General features: G+C 47.3%; 1 protein-coding gene across 10 annotated transcripts in view, besides 7 other annotated features; it reads right to left on the minus strand.

The window, feature by feature from the left end:
• NPC1 (NPC intracellular cholesterol transporter 1) overlaps window positions 1-14,660 on the minus strand; it is an 80,323-nt gene extending 65,663 nt beyond the window's left edge. For all 10 annotated transcript variants that reach the window (XM_005258279.3, XM_005258277.1, XM_017025787.2 and 7 more), the window contains exons 1-3: window positions 14,441-14,660; window positions 1,606-1,728; window positions 228-334 (exon numbers count right to left, since the gene is read on the minus strand). In XM_005258279.3, the coding sequence (XP_005258336.1) occupies window positions 228-334; window positions 1,606-1,728; window positions 14,441-14,497 (287 nt within the window). In that variant the 5' untranslated portion in view covers window positions 14,498-14,660. The remainder of the gene's footprint in view (window positions 1-227; window positions 335-1,605; window positions 1,729-14,440) is intronic.
• Window positions 2,239-2,533: an enhancer, noted in NCBI's record as "tiled region #2631; HepG2 Activating DNase matched - State 5:Enh". NCBI's record gives its function as "activates a minimal TATA promoter and a strong SV40 promoter by Sharpr-MPRA in HepG2 cells {active_cell/tissue: HepG2}" and the evidence as "EXISTENCE:reporter gene assay evidence [ECO:0000049][PMID:27701403]".
• Window positions 4,306-5,505: an enhancer, noted in NCBI's record as "BRD4-independent group 4 enhancer chr18:21156116-21157315 (GRCh37/hg19 assembly coordinates)". NCBI's record gives its function as "activates an origin of replication core promoter dependent on BRD2, P300/CBP, MED14 and CDK7 cofactors, and independent of BRD4, by STARR-seq in HCT116 cells {active_cell/tissue: HCT116}" and the evidence as "EXISTENCE:reporter gene assay evidence [ECO:0000049][PMID:35650434]".
• Window positions 13,184-13,731: an enhancer, noted in NCBI's record as "H3K27ac hESC enhancer chr18:21164994-21165541 (GRCh37/hg19 assembly coordinates)". NCBI's record gives its function as "activates a minimal SCP1, AML or CMV promoter by ChIP-STARR-seq in naive H9 embryonic stem cells {active_cell/tissue: H9 hESC(naive)}" and the evidence as "EXISTENCE:reporter gene assay evidence [ECO:0000049][PMID:30033119]".
• Window positions 13,732-14,278: an enhancer, noted in NCBI's record as "H3K27ac hESC enhancer chr18:21165542-21166088 (GRCh37/hg19 assembly coordinates)". NCBI's record gives its function as "activates a minimal SCP1, AML or CMV promoter by ChIP-STARR-seq in primed H9 embryonic stem cells {active_cell/tissue: H9 hESC(primed)}" and the evidence as "EXISTENCE:reporter gene assay evidence [ECO:0000049][PMID:30033119]".
• Window positions 14,302-14,401: a silencer, noted in NCBI's record as "silent region_9358". NCBI's record gives its function as "represses an Ori minimal core promoter by ATAC-STARR-seq in GM12878 lymphoblastoid cells {active_cell/tissue: GM12878}" and the evidence as "EXISTENCE:reporter gene assay evidence [ECO:0000049][PMID:35858748]".
• Window positions 14,682-14,731: a silencer, noted in NCBI's record as "silent region_9359". NCBI's record gives its function as "represses an Ori minimal core promoter by ATAC-STARR-seq in GM12878 lymphoblastoid cells {active_cell/tissue: GM12878}" and the evidence as "EXISTENCE:reporter gene assay evidence [ECO:0000049][PMID:35858748]".
• Window positions 15,082-15,331: a silencer, noted in NCBI's record as "silent region_9360". NCBI's record gives its function as "represses an Ori minimal core promoter by ATAC-STARR-seq in GM12878 lymphoblastoid cells {active_cell/tissue: GM12878}" and the evidence as "EXISTENCE:reporter gene assay evidence [ECO:0000049][PMID:35858748]".

Raw genomic sequence — 16,341 nt, forward strand, 5'->3', positions numbered from 1 at the left:
ATTATACACACACGCATGCATACACATTATACATACATGTATTTTTAATACATAAATATATATTCACCTACTTTACATGTATACATATATGTATAAATATATAATATACATATAATATAGACATATAATAAATAAAAATATGTAAACAAAGAATAAATGGAAAGCTGAGCATTACCAGTTCACAAGTATCTACAGCCCAGTTGTTCTGTTTCCCCAGCAGAACCTACCTGGACAGAAACTGTAGAGGCAGCTGCAGGTTGTCTTTTAGTGTCTGAAGCTGCCGAACATCACAACAGAGACTGACATTGCCAAAGAAGAATCCTGGACAGAGTTCCTTTCAGGTGAAAGAGCACAGACACGGGAGTAGGCAACAGTTAGAGTAAGGTCAACATTCCTCAGTGAACTAAGACACATTCATTCATGTAATCCTTTTGAAGTACAAAAGGGTAAGACACATCCTGTATTTGCAAAGTTATTATAGAATTATTTTAAAAGGCTACACATTTACTATTTATTCACAAGTAGAGATGTTTCTAATTTTCTTTTTATTTGGAAGCTTTCTCTCCTCTCCTGACAATCATTTTATGTCTTCTTAGGGTTTTTTGTTTGTTTGATTCAATTCAACCAGAGTGCTACTTACTATTTCTATTAGTAATTCCAGGGAAAGTTGAAACCTTTAATAATTATGATGAAAGCAGCAAGTGAGGACAGGTACTGTGGCTCATGCCTGTACTCCCAGTACTTAGGAAGGCTGAGGAGGGTGGATTGCTTGAGCCTAGGAGTTTGAGACCAGGCTAGGCAACATGGTGAAGCCCCATCTCCCCAAATTTTTAAAAAATTAGCCAGGGGTTGTGGCATGTGCCTGTAGTCCCAGCTACTTGGGACGCTGAGTTGAGAGATTGCTTGAGCTCAGGAGGTCGAGGACACAGTGAGCCGTGATTGTGCCACTGCACTCTAGCCTTCAGCCAGGATAAAAGAGCAAGGCTCCTTCTGTCTCAAAAACAGAAAAGAAACGAACAAGTGAGCCTAGGAACTCTGTTATCATGTCGACTTGACTTTTGATTACTTTAAGCCTCTAAAACCAGGCTTTTCACATGATTTTTCCAGTTCTAATATCCCTGTGTATCACAGGATGGTAAAAAAAGAACAGGAATCAGAATCCTGGTAGCAGCCAAAATTCACAGGCTCTCAGTGGAACACAGAGAAAACACTGAAATGACCAGGGGACAAGGACGTCAAAGCCACTTAGCAACAGAGTCCATTTGAGTCCTGAAATCTAGGAATCAAAACCAGCTAACTTCTAATATATTTTGCAGATGCTGCAAGGGCAACATACGAAGTACCAAGGTCAGTCTCTAAATAGCAACCTGCTATTGGGAAACTTTATGAGAGGTATAAAGTCAGCCCCTGAAAAATTAAGCCTTTGGAGTTACGGTGTTCTTTCTCTGCACTGTATGCCACAGGTTAGAGTTTGAGAGTCCGGGATAAGACTTAAGCCTGTTAGTCTCATCTCCACCTCCACCCTGCAATAACATTTAAGGAATAATTACAGAGGATCTTGTGATCAGCATTTTGTGTTCCCAGTGCCTAAGATAATGAACTTACCTGCACTAAGTCATATCCATCCTTTGGCAATGGTTTTGGTGGGCCAGAATATTCGCAATTGTACCTCTTGTCCCCATATGCAATTCCACACTCTCCATACCAAACACAGGACTGTGAAAACACCTACAGAAAGTCAACACAAACTTCAGTGTTACCAGGGTCTCAATGGTAAATTTCAACAAGAAGTGCCCACTCAAGTACAATCACAGAAACTTCCAATGCTACCTGCAAAATTAAGTAACAGCAACAGGCACTTAACATTTTGAAAAATATTAATTAAAGCAGACCAAATGCCTATTTGTCAAGTCAGTGAAGTAGGTAATGGAAATTGCTTATTTACATAATTTCTATTTCCTGCTTATTTGTTGATAAGAGGAAGCTATAGTTCCATGTAAGAAATACTCAATCACAGTAGAGAGAAAAGCAAGATAGTGACTTAGCAATTACTAAAGCACTATTTTTGCACATCTGCACCAGGAACTATATAAGCTCTAAGTAATGAAAGAATATTTCCATATGTATTTAGGTTAATTAATATCAATACATCATGAGTAACATGAAGAACAAAACAACAAAACCACAAACATCAACACCCCAATGTAAAGAGCGAGAATGAACTTCCTGTCCTTGAGGCTGAAGTAGAAAGCAAAGAATGTGCTAACTTTAAGGAAAAACACCGAGGCAATCTCAAAAGAAAATTTTAAAACCTCTTATGTAAAGATTTCTCAAAAACCACTCACATTTCCCATGTGAGAGTCACAAGGTTGTCAGAAAATTCAGCGGAGGGGAGGGGTCAGTGTGAATCATCAGGTCAGTGCCTTGCTCTGAAGGCTGCTGCCCAAAACGCACCTGATCCTCTGCCTCACAATGGACTCAGAAAGCCACAGAGGGCCCAGCTTGCCAGGGCCCCGGGCCTGCAATCGTCTGTTCTACAGGGAAACAGAAGATATCAAGAAGCAGCCATGGCTCCCAAGAACCCTGATGGGAAAGCCATAAAAAAAAAACAAATCTGAACAGAAGTCACAACATGAAATTCTCTCCAGTGACAGTGGCACATGACCTGCACACAGGCAAGAAGCTAAGTCAGTCTGTGTTGGTCCTTCAGTATCAAAATACAAATCCCACAACAGTCCCTGAAGCCCAAAAACATGAGAAAAAGTCAGCAGGAGATTGGGATTTGTATGTGTGGGGAAATCCAAGGCATCAATATCACTTTTCTCTGAATTCATTTTTCAGATGTTCTAAAATAAAAATTAGGACTTAACTCCTCTTGACTCTTTGAAAGTCATGTTTAGGCCACAAAGGAGGGAAATTATACAAATAAGGAAGTGACAACAAGCCTTCAACAAAGCCACATATGAACCCTGTGCCAAGATTCCACCACTATTTTTATATAAAGAGAATCCCAATTGTTATTCCCATAAACCCGGTGATTCTAAGGAAAAAAGAAACGTATTGCAACTCTGGGTTTCCAACTAATGGAAAAAAGTCCTAATGAGTAAAAGTCATTATCCATCTAACTAAAGTTTGAAAAGGCAAAAGCTGACTACAGAGGCAGAGGAAACTGCTGAAGTTCACATGAAATTTTAAATACAAAGAACTCTTCCCTAGACCTCGCAGAACTCTCCAGGGATTGGCCTGTCTCTGCCTCAGGGGCACTCTGGCTGGTTACCCACAGGAGCAGGAGTGACAAGAGACAGATGTGCAGTCAACACACTGCAGCTCTGGCCTGACAAACAGGACGGGTGTCTGGAGTCTAAAATCCCCTTACTCAGCACTTGGTACTATAGATGTGAATAAAGATGGCCCACTGCTGTTTAGGTTCCTTTTCACAAAGATCATTCGTTACTTATTTCAAAGCAAGTGCTATTTCCACCCACTTGGTGGAAGAGGGGTGGGTGAGAAGGCGGCACGGAGTGGGATCGAGTCCTGGGTTCTGATCCCAAGAGCTCCTGAGGCTCAGTGTGCTTGTTGAGCTGGATTGCACCTGGGATCACACCTGGAGCAGGTTACGTAACCACGTAGGAGTTTTCCTACCTGGGAAATGAAGCTCATAAGCTCTGCCTACCTCACAGGTTCCTGTGAAGATCAAATAAGGGCCTATCTGTACATATATAGTAAGTACTCAGTAAACTACAGAGCACCACGCAATCAAATATAAGGAATTATTATTAATGTCTTCTACCTGCTTGAGACCTCGGCAAAGAGGTTCCAAAGACTTAAAAAATTAACACCTGAGCCCAGGAAATTTGGGCTTGAATCAACATTCAGGTTTGCTTCTCAAAAGGTCATCTTCTAGAGACACAGCAGAGAAGACCAAAAAAAAAAAAAAAAAAAAAAAAAAAGTCATCCTGGCTGGAAGTGGTGGCTCACGCCTATAATCCCAGCACTTTGGGAAGCCAAGGCAGGTGGGTCGCTTGAGCCCAGGAGTTTGAGACCAGCCTGGGCAACACAGTGAAACCCTGTCTCTTAAAAACAACAACAACAACAGGCCGGGCACGGTGGCTCACACCTGTAATCCCAGCACTTTGGGAGGCTGAGGCAGGTGAATCACCTGAGGTCAGGAGTTCGAGACCAGCCTGACCGACATGGAGAAACCCTGTCTCTACTGAAAATACAAAATTAGCCAGGTGTGGGGGGTGCATGCCTGTAATCCCAGCTACTTAGGAGGCTGAGGCAAGAGAATTGCTTGAACCCGAGAGGCGGAGGTTGTGGTGAGCCAAGATTGTGCCATTACACTCCAGCCTGGGCAACAAGAGCTAAACTGTCTCAAAAAACAAACAAAAAAACAAAACAAACAAAAACAACAACAGCCAAAAATTAGCCGAGCCTAGTGGCACATGCCCATAGTCCCAGCTACTCCGGAGGCTGAGCTGGGAAGATCAGCTTGAACCCAGGAGGTTGAGGCTGCAGTGAGCTGAGATAGCACCTCTGCACTCCAGCCTGGACAACAAAGTGAAAACTGGTCTCAAAAAAAAAGTCATCCTGCCGAAAGAAGCAACCTAAGCCAGCAGGACCCAAAGACTTACAAAGCACTGGCGGTGTCCTAGGCTTAGGCACTATTTTAAATGCTCTTCACATTGTGTCCGGAATTGGTGGGTTCTTGGTCTCACTGACTTCAAGAATGAAGCCGCGGACCCTGGCGGTGAGCGTTACAGCTCTTAAGGTGGCGCGTCTGGAATCTGTCCCTTCTGATGTTCAGATGTTTTCGGAGTTTCTTCCTTCTGGTGGGTTCGTGATCTCGCTGGCTCAGGAGTGAAGCTGCAGACCTTCGCGGTGAGTGTTACAGCTCTTAAGGCAGCGCGTCTGGAGTTGTTCGTTCCTCCCAGTGGGCTCGTGGTCTCGCTGGGCTCAGGAGTGAAGCTGCAGATCTTCGCGGTGAGTGTTACAGCTCATAAAAGCAGTGTGGACCCAAAGAGTGAGCAGTAGCAAGATTTATTGCAAAGAGCGAAAGAACAACGCTTCCACAGCATGGAAGAGGACCCGGGCGGGTTGCTAATGCTGGCTTGGGCAGCCTGCTTTTATTCTTTTATCTGGCCCCACCCACATCCTGCTGATTGGTAGAGCCGAGTGGCCTGTTTTGTCAGGGTGCTGATTGGTGCGTTTATAATCCCTGAGCTAGATACAAAGGTTCTCCACGTCCCCATCAGATTAGTTAGATACAGAGTTTCCACACACAGGTTCTCCAAGGCCCCACCAGAGCAGCTAGATACAGAGTGTCGACTGGTGCACTCACAAACCTTGAGCTAAACACAGGGTGCTGATTGGTGTGTTTACAAACCTTGAGCTAGATACAGAGTGCCGATTGGTGTATTTACAATCCTTGAGCTAGACATAAAGGTTCTCCACGTCCTCACCAGAGCAGCTAGAGTGTCGATTGGTGCACTCACAAACCTTGAGCTAAACACAGGGTGCTGATTGGTGTATTTACAATCCTTGAGCTAGACATAAAGGTTCTCCACGTCCTCACCAGAGCAGCTAGATACAGAGTGTTGATTGGTGCACTCACAAACCTTGAGCTAAACACAGGGTGCTGATTGGTGTATTTACAATCCCTGAGCTAGATATAAAGACTCTCCACGTCCCCACCAGACTCAGAAGCCCAGCTGGCTTCACCTAGTGGATCCCGCACCGGGGCTGCAGGTGGAGCTGCCTGCCAGTCCTGCGCCGTGCGCCTGCATTCCTCAGCCCTTGGGTGGTCGATGGGACTGGGCGCCGTGGAGCAGGGGGTGGCGCTCGTCGGGGAGGCTCAGGCTGCACAGGAGGCCACGGAGGGGGTGGGAGGCTCTGGCATGGCGGGCTGCAGGTCCCGAGCCCTGCCCCGTGGGAAGGCAGCCAAGGCCCAGCGAGAAATCGAGCGCAGCGCCGGTGGGCCGGCACTGCTGGGGGGACCCAGTACACCCTCTGCAGCCACTGGCCCGGGTGCTAAGTCCCCCATTGCCCGGGGCCAGCAGGGCTGGCTGGCTGCTCCGAGTGTGGGGCCCACCAAGCCCACGCCCACCCGGAACTCCAGCTGGCCCGCAAGTGCCGCACACAGCCCCGGTTCCTGCTCGTGTCTCTCCCTCCACACCTCCCTGCAAGCTGAGGGAGTGGGCTCCGGCCTTGGCCAGCCCAGAAAGGGGCTCCCACAGTGCAGTGGGGGACTGAAGGGCTCCTCAAATGCCACCAAAGTGGGAGCCCAGGCAGGGGAGGTGCCGAGAGCAAGCAAGGGCTCTGAGGACTGCCAGCACGCTGTCACCTCTCAATATGTTAACCCAATTAATCCTACAACAGTTTGATGAGGGAGGCGTTATTATACCCCTTTTACAGATGCAGAAACGAAGGCACTGAGGCTAAACAACTTGTCCAAGGTCACAGTGGCAAAGCCAGGATTCAAAACAGAGCAGGTGACTCCAGAAACAGACTCTCAATAAAAGAGAATCAGCTGCATCATGAAAGTCCTCCCTGTAGCATCACACCCTCCCCAAACCCCACCGTGTGCAAGAGCACGAGCACCTGTGCACTCAACAGCTGCACAATGGGAGCTGCTCAGCCTTCACTCCCTTCTCACCAACAGCTGAAAGTGGAGAGCCAGCCTCCTGGCCCCCAGGCCTGCCTCTGCAGCTGCTCCACCTCAGGGGCCTCCACACCTCCATCTCTTTCTCTTCTGTGTTTTTAACCTCATCTCTCTCTCAGTCCCTTCACCTGCACCTCCCTAGAAACACTGCTCTAATTATATCCACAAACCCCTCTCTCAGCTTCAGTGATCTCCAGCTTCTCTCCAGCAGCACTTTCCACTAGCTGCCCAACAGCCTCAGTGCTTAAGACGAAACCAATCTTTCCTCTATTTGTATTTCCTCCTCTATTGCCAATTCCTCTTCAACAGAGTTTCAAATGAAAATCTCAGGCACCTTTCGAACCCACCTCCCATAGCGAACCTATCGCTCACTCCCAGGGAGGCTCCCTCGTGCAGCCTCCTGCCCTCACTCGGACCCGGCAGTGTCTCTGGTGCAGATGCCTGCCGCTTGCCTCTTCCGGAACAATGCTCAAAGTTTTCTGGTGCTCAGAAACCTCCAACCCACCCTTCCCACTGCCTGTGCGACAAGCTTCAGACACCTCACTCTGGCTCTGCCCACTCTCCTTTCTACAGTATTCCAAACCTATCACTCTAACTGCCTACCCTTCCTTCCTTCTCTCCCACATGAAGTAGGACCTGCCTGCCTCTGCCTTGGTCATGCCCTAGGATCAAGCAAAATTTATGAGAATTGCAAAGTTGTGATGTTGGGAGAAGTTGCCAGAGTATTTTCTCACTTTTGTCTCAACTCCCTTGTAAGACGGTAAAATCCTAGAGGGCAGAGCCTAGGTGTGTAATCCTTCCTTTGAAATTCCCTATTGTATTACATCTGGTGTTCATGGATGCAGAACTTGTCAAAACTCACAATGAGCTGAGGGAGTACAACTGGATTATCTAAGTTCAGAAATGAGAAGTGCTGATTGTTTTGGCTTCTACCCAGAATTTAGTAGTTACACAGCTAAAGAGTTTCTATTTTTAAAGGTTAGATCATATGGATATTTCACAACATGCTCTAGAGTTTAATTACTAAGAAAATGACTGGATAGGGAAGCTTCTTTCAACGATAGGAACAGTTCAGGAAAGGTTAAAAAAAAGCCCCTTCTAGGCCAGGTGCAGTGGCTCATGCCTGTAATCCCAGCACTTTGGGAGGCCGAGGTGGGCAGATCACGAGGTCAGGAGATCGAGACCATCCTGCCTAACACAGTGAAACCCCGTCTCTACTAAAAATACAAAAAATTAGCCGGGCATGGTGGCAGGTGCCTGTAGTCCCAGCTACAGGCTGAGACAGGAGAATGGCGTGAACCCGGGAGGCGGAGGTTGCAGTAAGCTGAGATCGCACCGCTGCACTCCAGCCTGGGTAACAGAGAGAGACTCCATCTAAAAAAAAAAAAAATGCCCCTTGTGCTATATCTCAGCAACTATAGCAACTGCTAAATTGGACCCCATTCAGGAGCTCCATAAGCACACATTATTATCAGAAAAGCTCTGAACTCAGTGAGAATTCTATTCCACTGCCTTTAGGAAATCCTAAAGCATTAACTAACATATTCAAATACTTACTGAACATCTATTGTTCTCGAGGCATGGCAGTAAAATAAATAAATGAAACAAAAATACCAAACATCGACTGCATGCCTCATTTTCTCAGATACTCTATGCAGTAGCACAGCAGAATTTTACAGGTAAGTGAACTCAGGCTCAAAGATACTCTGAGGTCACATGGCTCATAAATAACATGATTTTGAACACCAAGTTAAGCATTCTCCACCCATCCCCCTTGTCCTCCTGCCTCCCCTACCCCCAGCTTCTGTACCATTTAAACTCTAGTCCAGTTTGTGCAGTGATGTATCCTCAGAATTGGAGAATGCACTGGAGATGAACTGTCCCATCCATGATGATCCTATACAAGTGTTCCTTCAATATAAACTTGTTCACTTGTAGAAATAATGCCTCCCATTCCTATCTTTTAAAGTATCTCTCTAGGCAGTTGTCAAGCAATGACTCCCTTACTCAGTATCACTGACAGTCCTCAACCCCAGGGTAGGACTTGGCCATCCACCAGAGCTGGGAGTGCAGGGCTTGGCACCAACACTTGTGCCCCTGTCCTGGATGGGTAAAGCTAATGGCAAAACATGGAGAGATACCCAGCTCAAGCTCCAGTGAGGCGATGGAGGAGAGGGGCTTGCTGGTTAACTTCCCTACCTCATTGCTTCTCCAGAGAGCAGAGGCTGGCCTGGCCAGTCAGGACAACACAGGCTGGAGTGGAGGGAGTGGCATGAAGAATCCTGTCCAGAGATTAAGCTGCCTGCTGCTTCTTTGGAGTCAGGGAGGCAGACCAAACAAATATGGCAGGGCATTTAGGGTGGAGGCTGCCGGGCTGGTCTGACTTCTATTGACGGAAATCTCTGGAAGTGTTTTATAGCCAACCTGGCATGAACGTATCTACATAACAAAGGATAATTTGTGTGTGCACCAGGCCTGCCTGCATGTGGGTGTTTAAGTCATATATTTTGAGTGCTAGGTGTGCTCAGCTAGTCCAACTCTTCGTTTTACAGATAACCCCTTTAGCTTCTGGTTTTTTATGTGACTCACCCAAGGTCATATTACTAGTTAGTCTTAGACATTTAGGAGCCACAAAACTAAAACAAAACTATGAAAGTGGGTGCCAGTATACACTGTCTGCAGTTTTTTCCCTATGGAATGTTCACAGTGTGGTGACTGAATCAGGGGTCAGGCCAGCAGGCTAAACCCATTCCTGATCTATTACGGACTACTGGAAGAGCCACACTGGGGACGGAACCAGGCCTTGAATGAGACTGCTCTACTAACCAAGTGGAATATCTGCTGAACACCCATTCAATTAAGCTTGCTAAACACCAATAATCTAGCCTTGAATTTCAAAAAACTAGGGCACAGAAGTCAGAAGATGGCAGTTGAAGCACCCAATGTGCCATCTACTAGCTATGTGACCTTGGGACAAATTTGACCCTTGATGTCTGCATCTATAAAATAGGAAAAACAGCATTACACCTACCTTAAAGGGGCTCTGTGAGGATAAAACAAGATCGGATGTGATAGCAATGGAGTACTATGCAAAATTTGGGTAGCTTTTGTCTCTAGTCTTATGTAATCTAGTATATAGCACCCTGCAAATTTTTTTAAGAGCTTTACTCATGTAATTTACATACCATAAAATTCACCCTTTTCAAGTGAACAGTTCAATAGTTTAGGGCAACAATTAGGCAACTCTCCCGACTATTTTCTCTAGTTTTCCTCTTGTCCACCTGATACATTAATTCATCCTCCATAGCTCAGCTCAAAAATGGACTCTCCATAACATTTTATCTTTATTCTTATCTGAGCACTTCTTACTGTATTACCATTTTTTTATGTATCCAGCCTTCCCCCCATCAACTATGAAGAAGACAGTGATAGTAATTATGAACATTTACACAGCACTTTACAGTGTATAGACGGACTTTTTTTCTTTTTTTTACTACTTACTTATTGTTTTGGACTAGTCAAGTGCAGTAGTGAGCAGGAGGAAAGAGTAGATCAAGGAGTTCGATCTGTAACTGACTTTGATCAATTGATAACACACTACCTTAGGACCAGCCTAGACTGATTTTTTTAAATGGGTTAATTCTTTTGATCTTATCCTTTGTTGTGTCTAGGGAAGCCAATTCATGTTTATGAAATTATTTTGAGCTCCTCTTGTGACCTAAGCAAGGGACAGTAATAAGATAAAATTTTAAAGCTTCTCTCAAATCCTCCAACAGAACACCTGCACCAGAGAGAGTTGGTTTTTTAAAAGTTTTGCTGCCAAAGCAAATGTTCCAAAAATTTGAAAGTGAGAGGCACAGTCCAGATGAAGAAAAACCTGGCTGGCCGCAGCTGATCACTGCCATCACCTAGAAACCAACTGCAAATCCAATTTTGATTGCCACTAGTTTCTAAGTCTCTCCCCAAAATCCATTTCAAGGCCCAAATATCTTATGATCAAAGAATCCCAGTGGGCCAGGCATGGTGGCTCACACCTGTAATCCCAGCACTTTGGGAGGCGGAGGTGGATGGTATCACTTGAGCTCAGGAGTTCGAGACCAGCCTGGGCAAGCTGGCAAAACCCCTTCTCTACTAAAAATACAAAAAATTAGCAGGGCATGATGGTGCACACCTATAGTCCCAGCTACTCGGGAGGCTTGATGTGGGAGAATCACCTGAGCCCGGGAGGTCGAGGCTGTAGTGAGCCAAGATCGTGCCACTGCGCTCCAGCCTGGGCAACCAAAGTAAGACCTGGTCTTGAAAAAAAAAAAAAAAGATTCCAGGGCCAGCACGGTGGCTCATGCTTGTAATCCCAGCACTTTGGGAGGCCAAGGTGGGAGGATCTCCAGCCCAGGAATTCAAGACCACCTTGGGCAACACAGCAAGACCTTGTGTCTACAAAAAATTTAAAAATTAGTTGGGCATGGTGGCATGCACCTGCAGTCCCAGCTACGTGGGAGGCTGAGGTGGAAGGATAGCTTGAGCCCAGGGTCAACACTTCAGTGAGCCACAATCAAACCACTACACTTCAGCCTGGGGGACAGTGCAAGACCCTGTTTCAAAAAAAAAAAAAAAAAAAAGAGTCCCAAGTCAAGTGTCCTGGCCACATTTGTAGATGATATTGGAGAGCAACAGTTATTGCTCTTAAGGAGCCTGCAATTCGGTAGTTCAATTAGGAAATATTTGTCTTTCACAAGCATAGTTGGCACAGTTAATCCAATTTTACAGAGGAGGAAACTGAGGCTCCAGAGGATAACTGGCTTACCCAAGATCACTCTTGGGAACAGAGAAGAGTCAAGACCCACACCAAGGTCTTTTAATGAGGCAGCAAATGCTGTTGCAGCAGTTTAAATAAAGATTCAGAACTTCAGAGGGAAGGCATTCTAGTTAGGGGAACAGGACAAGAATGTCGTAGATAATGTAGCATGTGAAATGGGGCCCTGGAAGATGGGCAGGATTTTGCTAGCAAGCAGTTCAATTTGACTGGAGAGCTGATGCCCTTCACAGAGCTGGAGGTCAAAGGGCAGAAAGGGGCACCCGAGATCAGAGATGACTGATCCAGGCTTCCGCTGTAGGTAATCTGCCATGCTTAGAATACTGCATCCCTTTTAGGAGTGGAGGGTTACCCAGGAAAGAGAGAGCACACTGTCTTCATGACCAGAGTGATTCTTTGTTCTGGGTAATATAACAAACACTGGAGGAATACAAAGGCCTATTCAGCGAGTCCTTTTCCCTCTGCCCACTGGCTCAAATTTAAAAAAATCTCATTTTCCCCTTGATTACTTATGTTAGTAAAATTTCTGATCACAGCATCAGTCAAGGAGTGGGAAAGATGGGGAAAGATTTCCCACAGTCATTCCAATTTCAGATGGTTGTTCTTAATCACTCACAGGTCAAAAGATTAACCATTCCCAGTCTTCTGAGGAAAAGCCATTTTAATGCTTAATTTCTACCCAGGCTTCTCTATGTTCCAAGTCCCTCAAGATAAAGCTTACCAAAATTACAGCCGGGAAAAATAAAGGCTATGTCTCAAAACTGCATATAGTTTTTAGATGACTACAGGGTTTTAAAAACAAGGCAGTCTAGTAATGTTATTACATCATCTGTACATATTGAACATTAAGAAAAAGCAAAAATCCCCCCAACATGTATTTCAGATCTTACACAGGACAACTAGTCCATAATTCCATGATAGAACTCTACTAGCGCTCAGACTGAAGCTAATGAGCTGCTATCATCGGTACGAATTCTAAAAGCAGACACACTCTCTCTCCCAATCTGTTTGGCTTCATGGCTCCACCCCAATCTGTTCAGGTGCACTGAAAGCTTTCAGACATGAGGAATTTTTAAAATAATAATAGGATTATTTCCAGTTAAGGTTTACAGACCTTGAAAAGGCCTCCAGGCATTTTTGCAAGAGACTTACAACAAACCTCTGACCTATCCCAAATGTCATAAAAGAAGCACTCATTGGCCATCAGCCTTGGGTACTTGAGATTTAAAAAATACTTAAGAGATGGCTACTTAATAATGTGAAGCCTGGCTGGGCGAGGTGGCTCACACCTGTAATCCCCAAAAGAGGAGGGCGGATCGCTAGAGGTCAGGATTTCGAGACCAGCCTGACCAACACGGTGAAACCCCATCTCCACGGAAAATACAAAAATTAGCTGGGCGTGGTGGTGGGCACCTGTAATCCTAGCTACCTGGGAGGCTGAGGCACCAGAATTGCTTGAATCCAGGAGGCAGAGGTTGCAGTGAGCCGAGATTGCGCCACTACACTCCAGACTGGGCAACAGAGACTCTGTCTCCAAAAAAAAGGGAAGCCTATTTAAGGTCCTGATCTAAAACTCTAGGAGGGGCCAGGAGTGGTGCTCACAATAATCCCAGTGCTTTGGGAGGCCAAGGTGGAAGGACTGCTTGAGGCCAGGAGTTCCAGGCTGCAGTGAGCTATGATGGCGACACTGCCCCCACGCCTGGGCAACAGAGCAAGAACCTGTCTCTAAAATAAATAAATTTTAAAAATAAATTTTAAAAAACTCTAGGGAAACAGAATAGCCACATTTTCTCTACGGCACATAATTGCTATTATTTATTTCTCTCTCTTTTTTGTTTTGACACAGGGTCTTGCTCTGTTGCCCAGGCTGGAGTACACCGGCGTGATCACAGCTCACAGCAGCCTCAACCTCAACAATGAAAAGAAAAACAAAATGTTTTTAAGACGGTGTTTCACCATGTTGCCCCGGCTGGTCTTGAACTGCTGAGCTCAAGAGATCCTCCCGCGGAGCCCTTCTCCTGGCTCTTAGTCCATTATTGGATCAACATCACCTATCCCCTTCTGAGAACTAAATAGAAGTCGAAGGAGAGTTTTTTCTAGTCCACGGAACCCCCTCTCCCCTGATTCACCACTTCCTATTGACGCCACACCTATGTGAGGGGCGTTAATGTGCACAAGGACACAATTCCCCGGAGGCACTCTCATCCTGATTTGGTTTAACGAGTCACAGCGTGACACTGCCCCACTCCAGTTTTAAAAGAGGAAACTACAGACACACAAATACTGAGGTGCTCTTTCCCAAAGCTATTAAACCAAGCAAAAGCCCCCAGAAGGAGTCAGCAGGACACCGAGTTCCAGGCCCCATCCTGTCGCTGGCTAATAGTGACAAGGGGAAATTCAATACCGCCCTGTGAGTCTCAGTGTCCTGAGGTGTAAAAAGGAGTTGATGAAAAGTAACCTGCCCTCTTTAGAAGACCAAGCTGACTTATGTCAAGTACTCAAGGCAGTTTCACCGGGTGCTTGAGGAAGTTTGTGTCTCTTTACCTCTGCTTCCACCTCCATCCTCAGGTGATGAGAAGAGGAAATAAAGTGGTTAGAGCTCCTAAATTTTGGAGTTCGTGCGCATGTAGCAGAATTTTTTAAAAAGCAAGTAGTGTCCCTATCCCACTCTACCCACTTTCCTCCCTTCTTCTGGTGCCACATCCTACACAGAGAAATTAGGTGACCACAGATGGAACAAGCTCAGAACAGGTCACCCAAGCCCCCACTGCCACCCTCTTCCAGACCACAGGAAAGAGAGCGTGGCCGGAGACAGAAACAGGACAAGTGAGGAACCTCCGAGCTCTCCATCGCCAGACCAACTTCCCCAGGACCCGGGCCTGAGCCGTCGCTGGGCCCGTCGCCTTCCCCGGCTCTCGGCCCCGCCACGTCCCCACAGGGCGTCCCGGTGGCCGGCGACCGCTCACCTGCGCTGGACACAGTAGCAGCAGGAGGAGGCCAAGGGCCAGGCCGCGAGCGGTCATGCTGTGGCCGCGCAAGGCTGCTGACGCCGGCGGCGTTCGGCTGGTTGGGCTCCCCGGAGGCGGCTCTACTTCCCCGGGCTGTTTCAGCACCCCGCGCAGGAGGAGCGGAGGAGCAGGAGCAGGCGCTGACCGCGGCAGCAGGCTGCGCGCGCCGGTCAGGAAGGAAGAAGGCGTCGTCGGCTCCGCCCTTTCTGGGAGGTGCCGCTGCCGGGACTCCCTGGCCCGGGCTGGGGCGCCGCCGCGACCCCGCTTCAAGGTCCCCGTGTTGCCCTTCTCCTCAGCCCCTGCAATCCCCGGGGGCCAGGCGCGGGACTTATGGAGTCTGGCTCGGCCCGGGAGAGTATCTGTGGAGTTGTGCCAACGGTTTCTGGCCGTGATGCTTTCCCTTTTCGTCTCTGGGTTGGAGGGGGCGGGCGAGGTTTCAGCGAAGGGTAGTGCTGTTCTGGGGGACTTCCGGGTAAGGTCCCGCCCGGCCGCGGAGTCTCTGTTTATTTCGGCTCCGACAATTACGCTGAGCGACTTCTCCTCCCAACCCAGTCACCTGAAAGGAATCTGGACCCCGGCACTTTCTAGCAGAGCCCGGGGCGGTGACGCGCGGTGGCCTGACCGTGTGACGATCCGCGAGTGCGGCGGGGCGGGGCGGGGCGGAGCGCGGGGTGGGCGGTGGCGGTGCGGCCAGGCCCGGGAAAAAAAGTGCGGGAGCCTCGCCACCTGCTGGCCCAGCTGCGCAGCGCAGCCCGTGGGCGCGAGGAAACCCCGAGGTGGGGACCAGGGTCTGTTTTAAGTTCTACGTGAAGGCAGATAAAGAAGACGCGTTGTCATTTTTGAGCCATGCGTTTGATATATGTATTTATCTTTAACTCTAGTTGTATGTGTTTCTGGTAACGTTTTCCCTCAAATTTCAAGTATTCAGACCACTCAAAAGCATCTGTCATTTCCATTTTGAAGTTAAGAAAATGGAGGTGAAGATCTCTTTCCCAACAGTGAAAGCAAATTTACGATGAAAAGACTAAACCTTCATCTGGAGCAATGACCGAACCCCTCCCCAAGGAGTCCCATGATGCAGATGACCTTCCCATCCCTATCCTATAAAGTGCTGTTTCACTTTCTGTCTTGCCTTCTCACCTCCTCAGCCCTGAGATGTCCACCTGGCTGGCCTGGCAGTGAAACTATGGGGATTTCTTCAGGACCTTCAGCCTAGGTCCTCCACGACGACCTCGTGGTCCTCAGTCAGCTCTGTGCTCTCGCTTCCCACTCCCCAGGCTCCAGCTCCTGGTGCCCCCACTGAGGATCAAGTCCTGTGTATGCCTTCATGCAGGGATCCTCAAACGGCCATCCCCAGACCAGCAGCAGGAGCATCTCCTTGGAACTTGTTAGAAATGTAAATTCTCAGCCAGGGCAATGTAGCAAGACTCCCTCTATACAAAAAAAAAATTTTTTTTAAGTTAGCTGGGCATAGTGGCACACACCTGTAGTCTCAGCTACTAAGGAGGCTGAGGCAGGAGGATTGCTTGAGCCCAGGAGGCTACAGTTGTCTATGATCATGCTGCTGCACTCCAGCCTGGGTGATAGAGCAAGACCCTGTCTCAAAGACAGAGAGAGGTAGAAGAAAATGTTACAGTAAGATTTCCAAGTTTATAAATTACTTTGAAGGTTCTAAGTTTCCATAACCCTCCTTGGGGAAGAAGAATTCTGGTTCCTGTGACTTACTTCAGGGGTGCAAGACCGCTGGAGACAGGAGGGCAGGAGAAAGTCATGGGTAGACTTTGTTTCTGAGGCTGCTACTGAGACCTAATCTCCTTTAGTTCAAAGTACTTAGCATGCCAAAGCCTCCTACTTTGGGG

The sequence above is a fragment of the Homo sapiens genome, chromosome 18, assembly GCF_000001405.40.
Source record: "Homo sapiens chromosome 18, GRCh38.p14 Primary Assembly".
Lineage (NCBI taxonomy): Eukaryota > Metazoa > Chordata > Mammalia > Primates > Hominidae > Homo > Homo sapiens.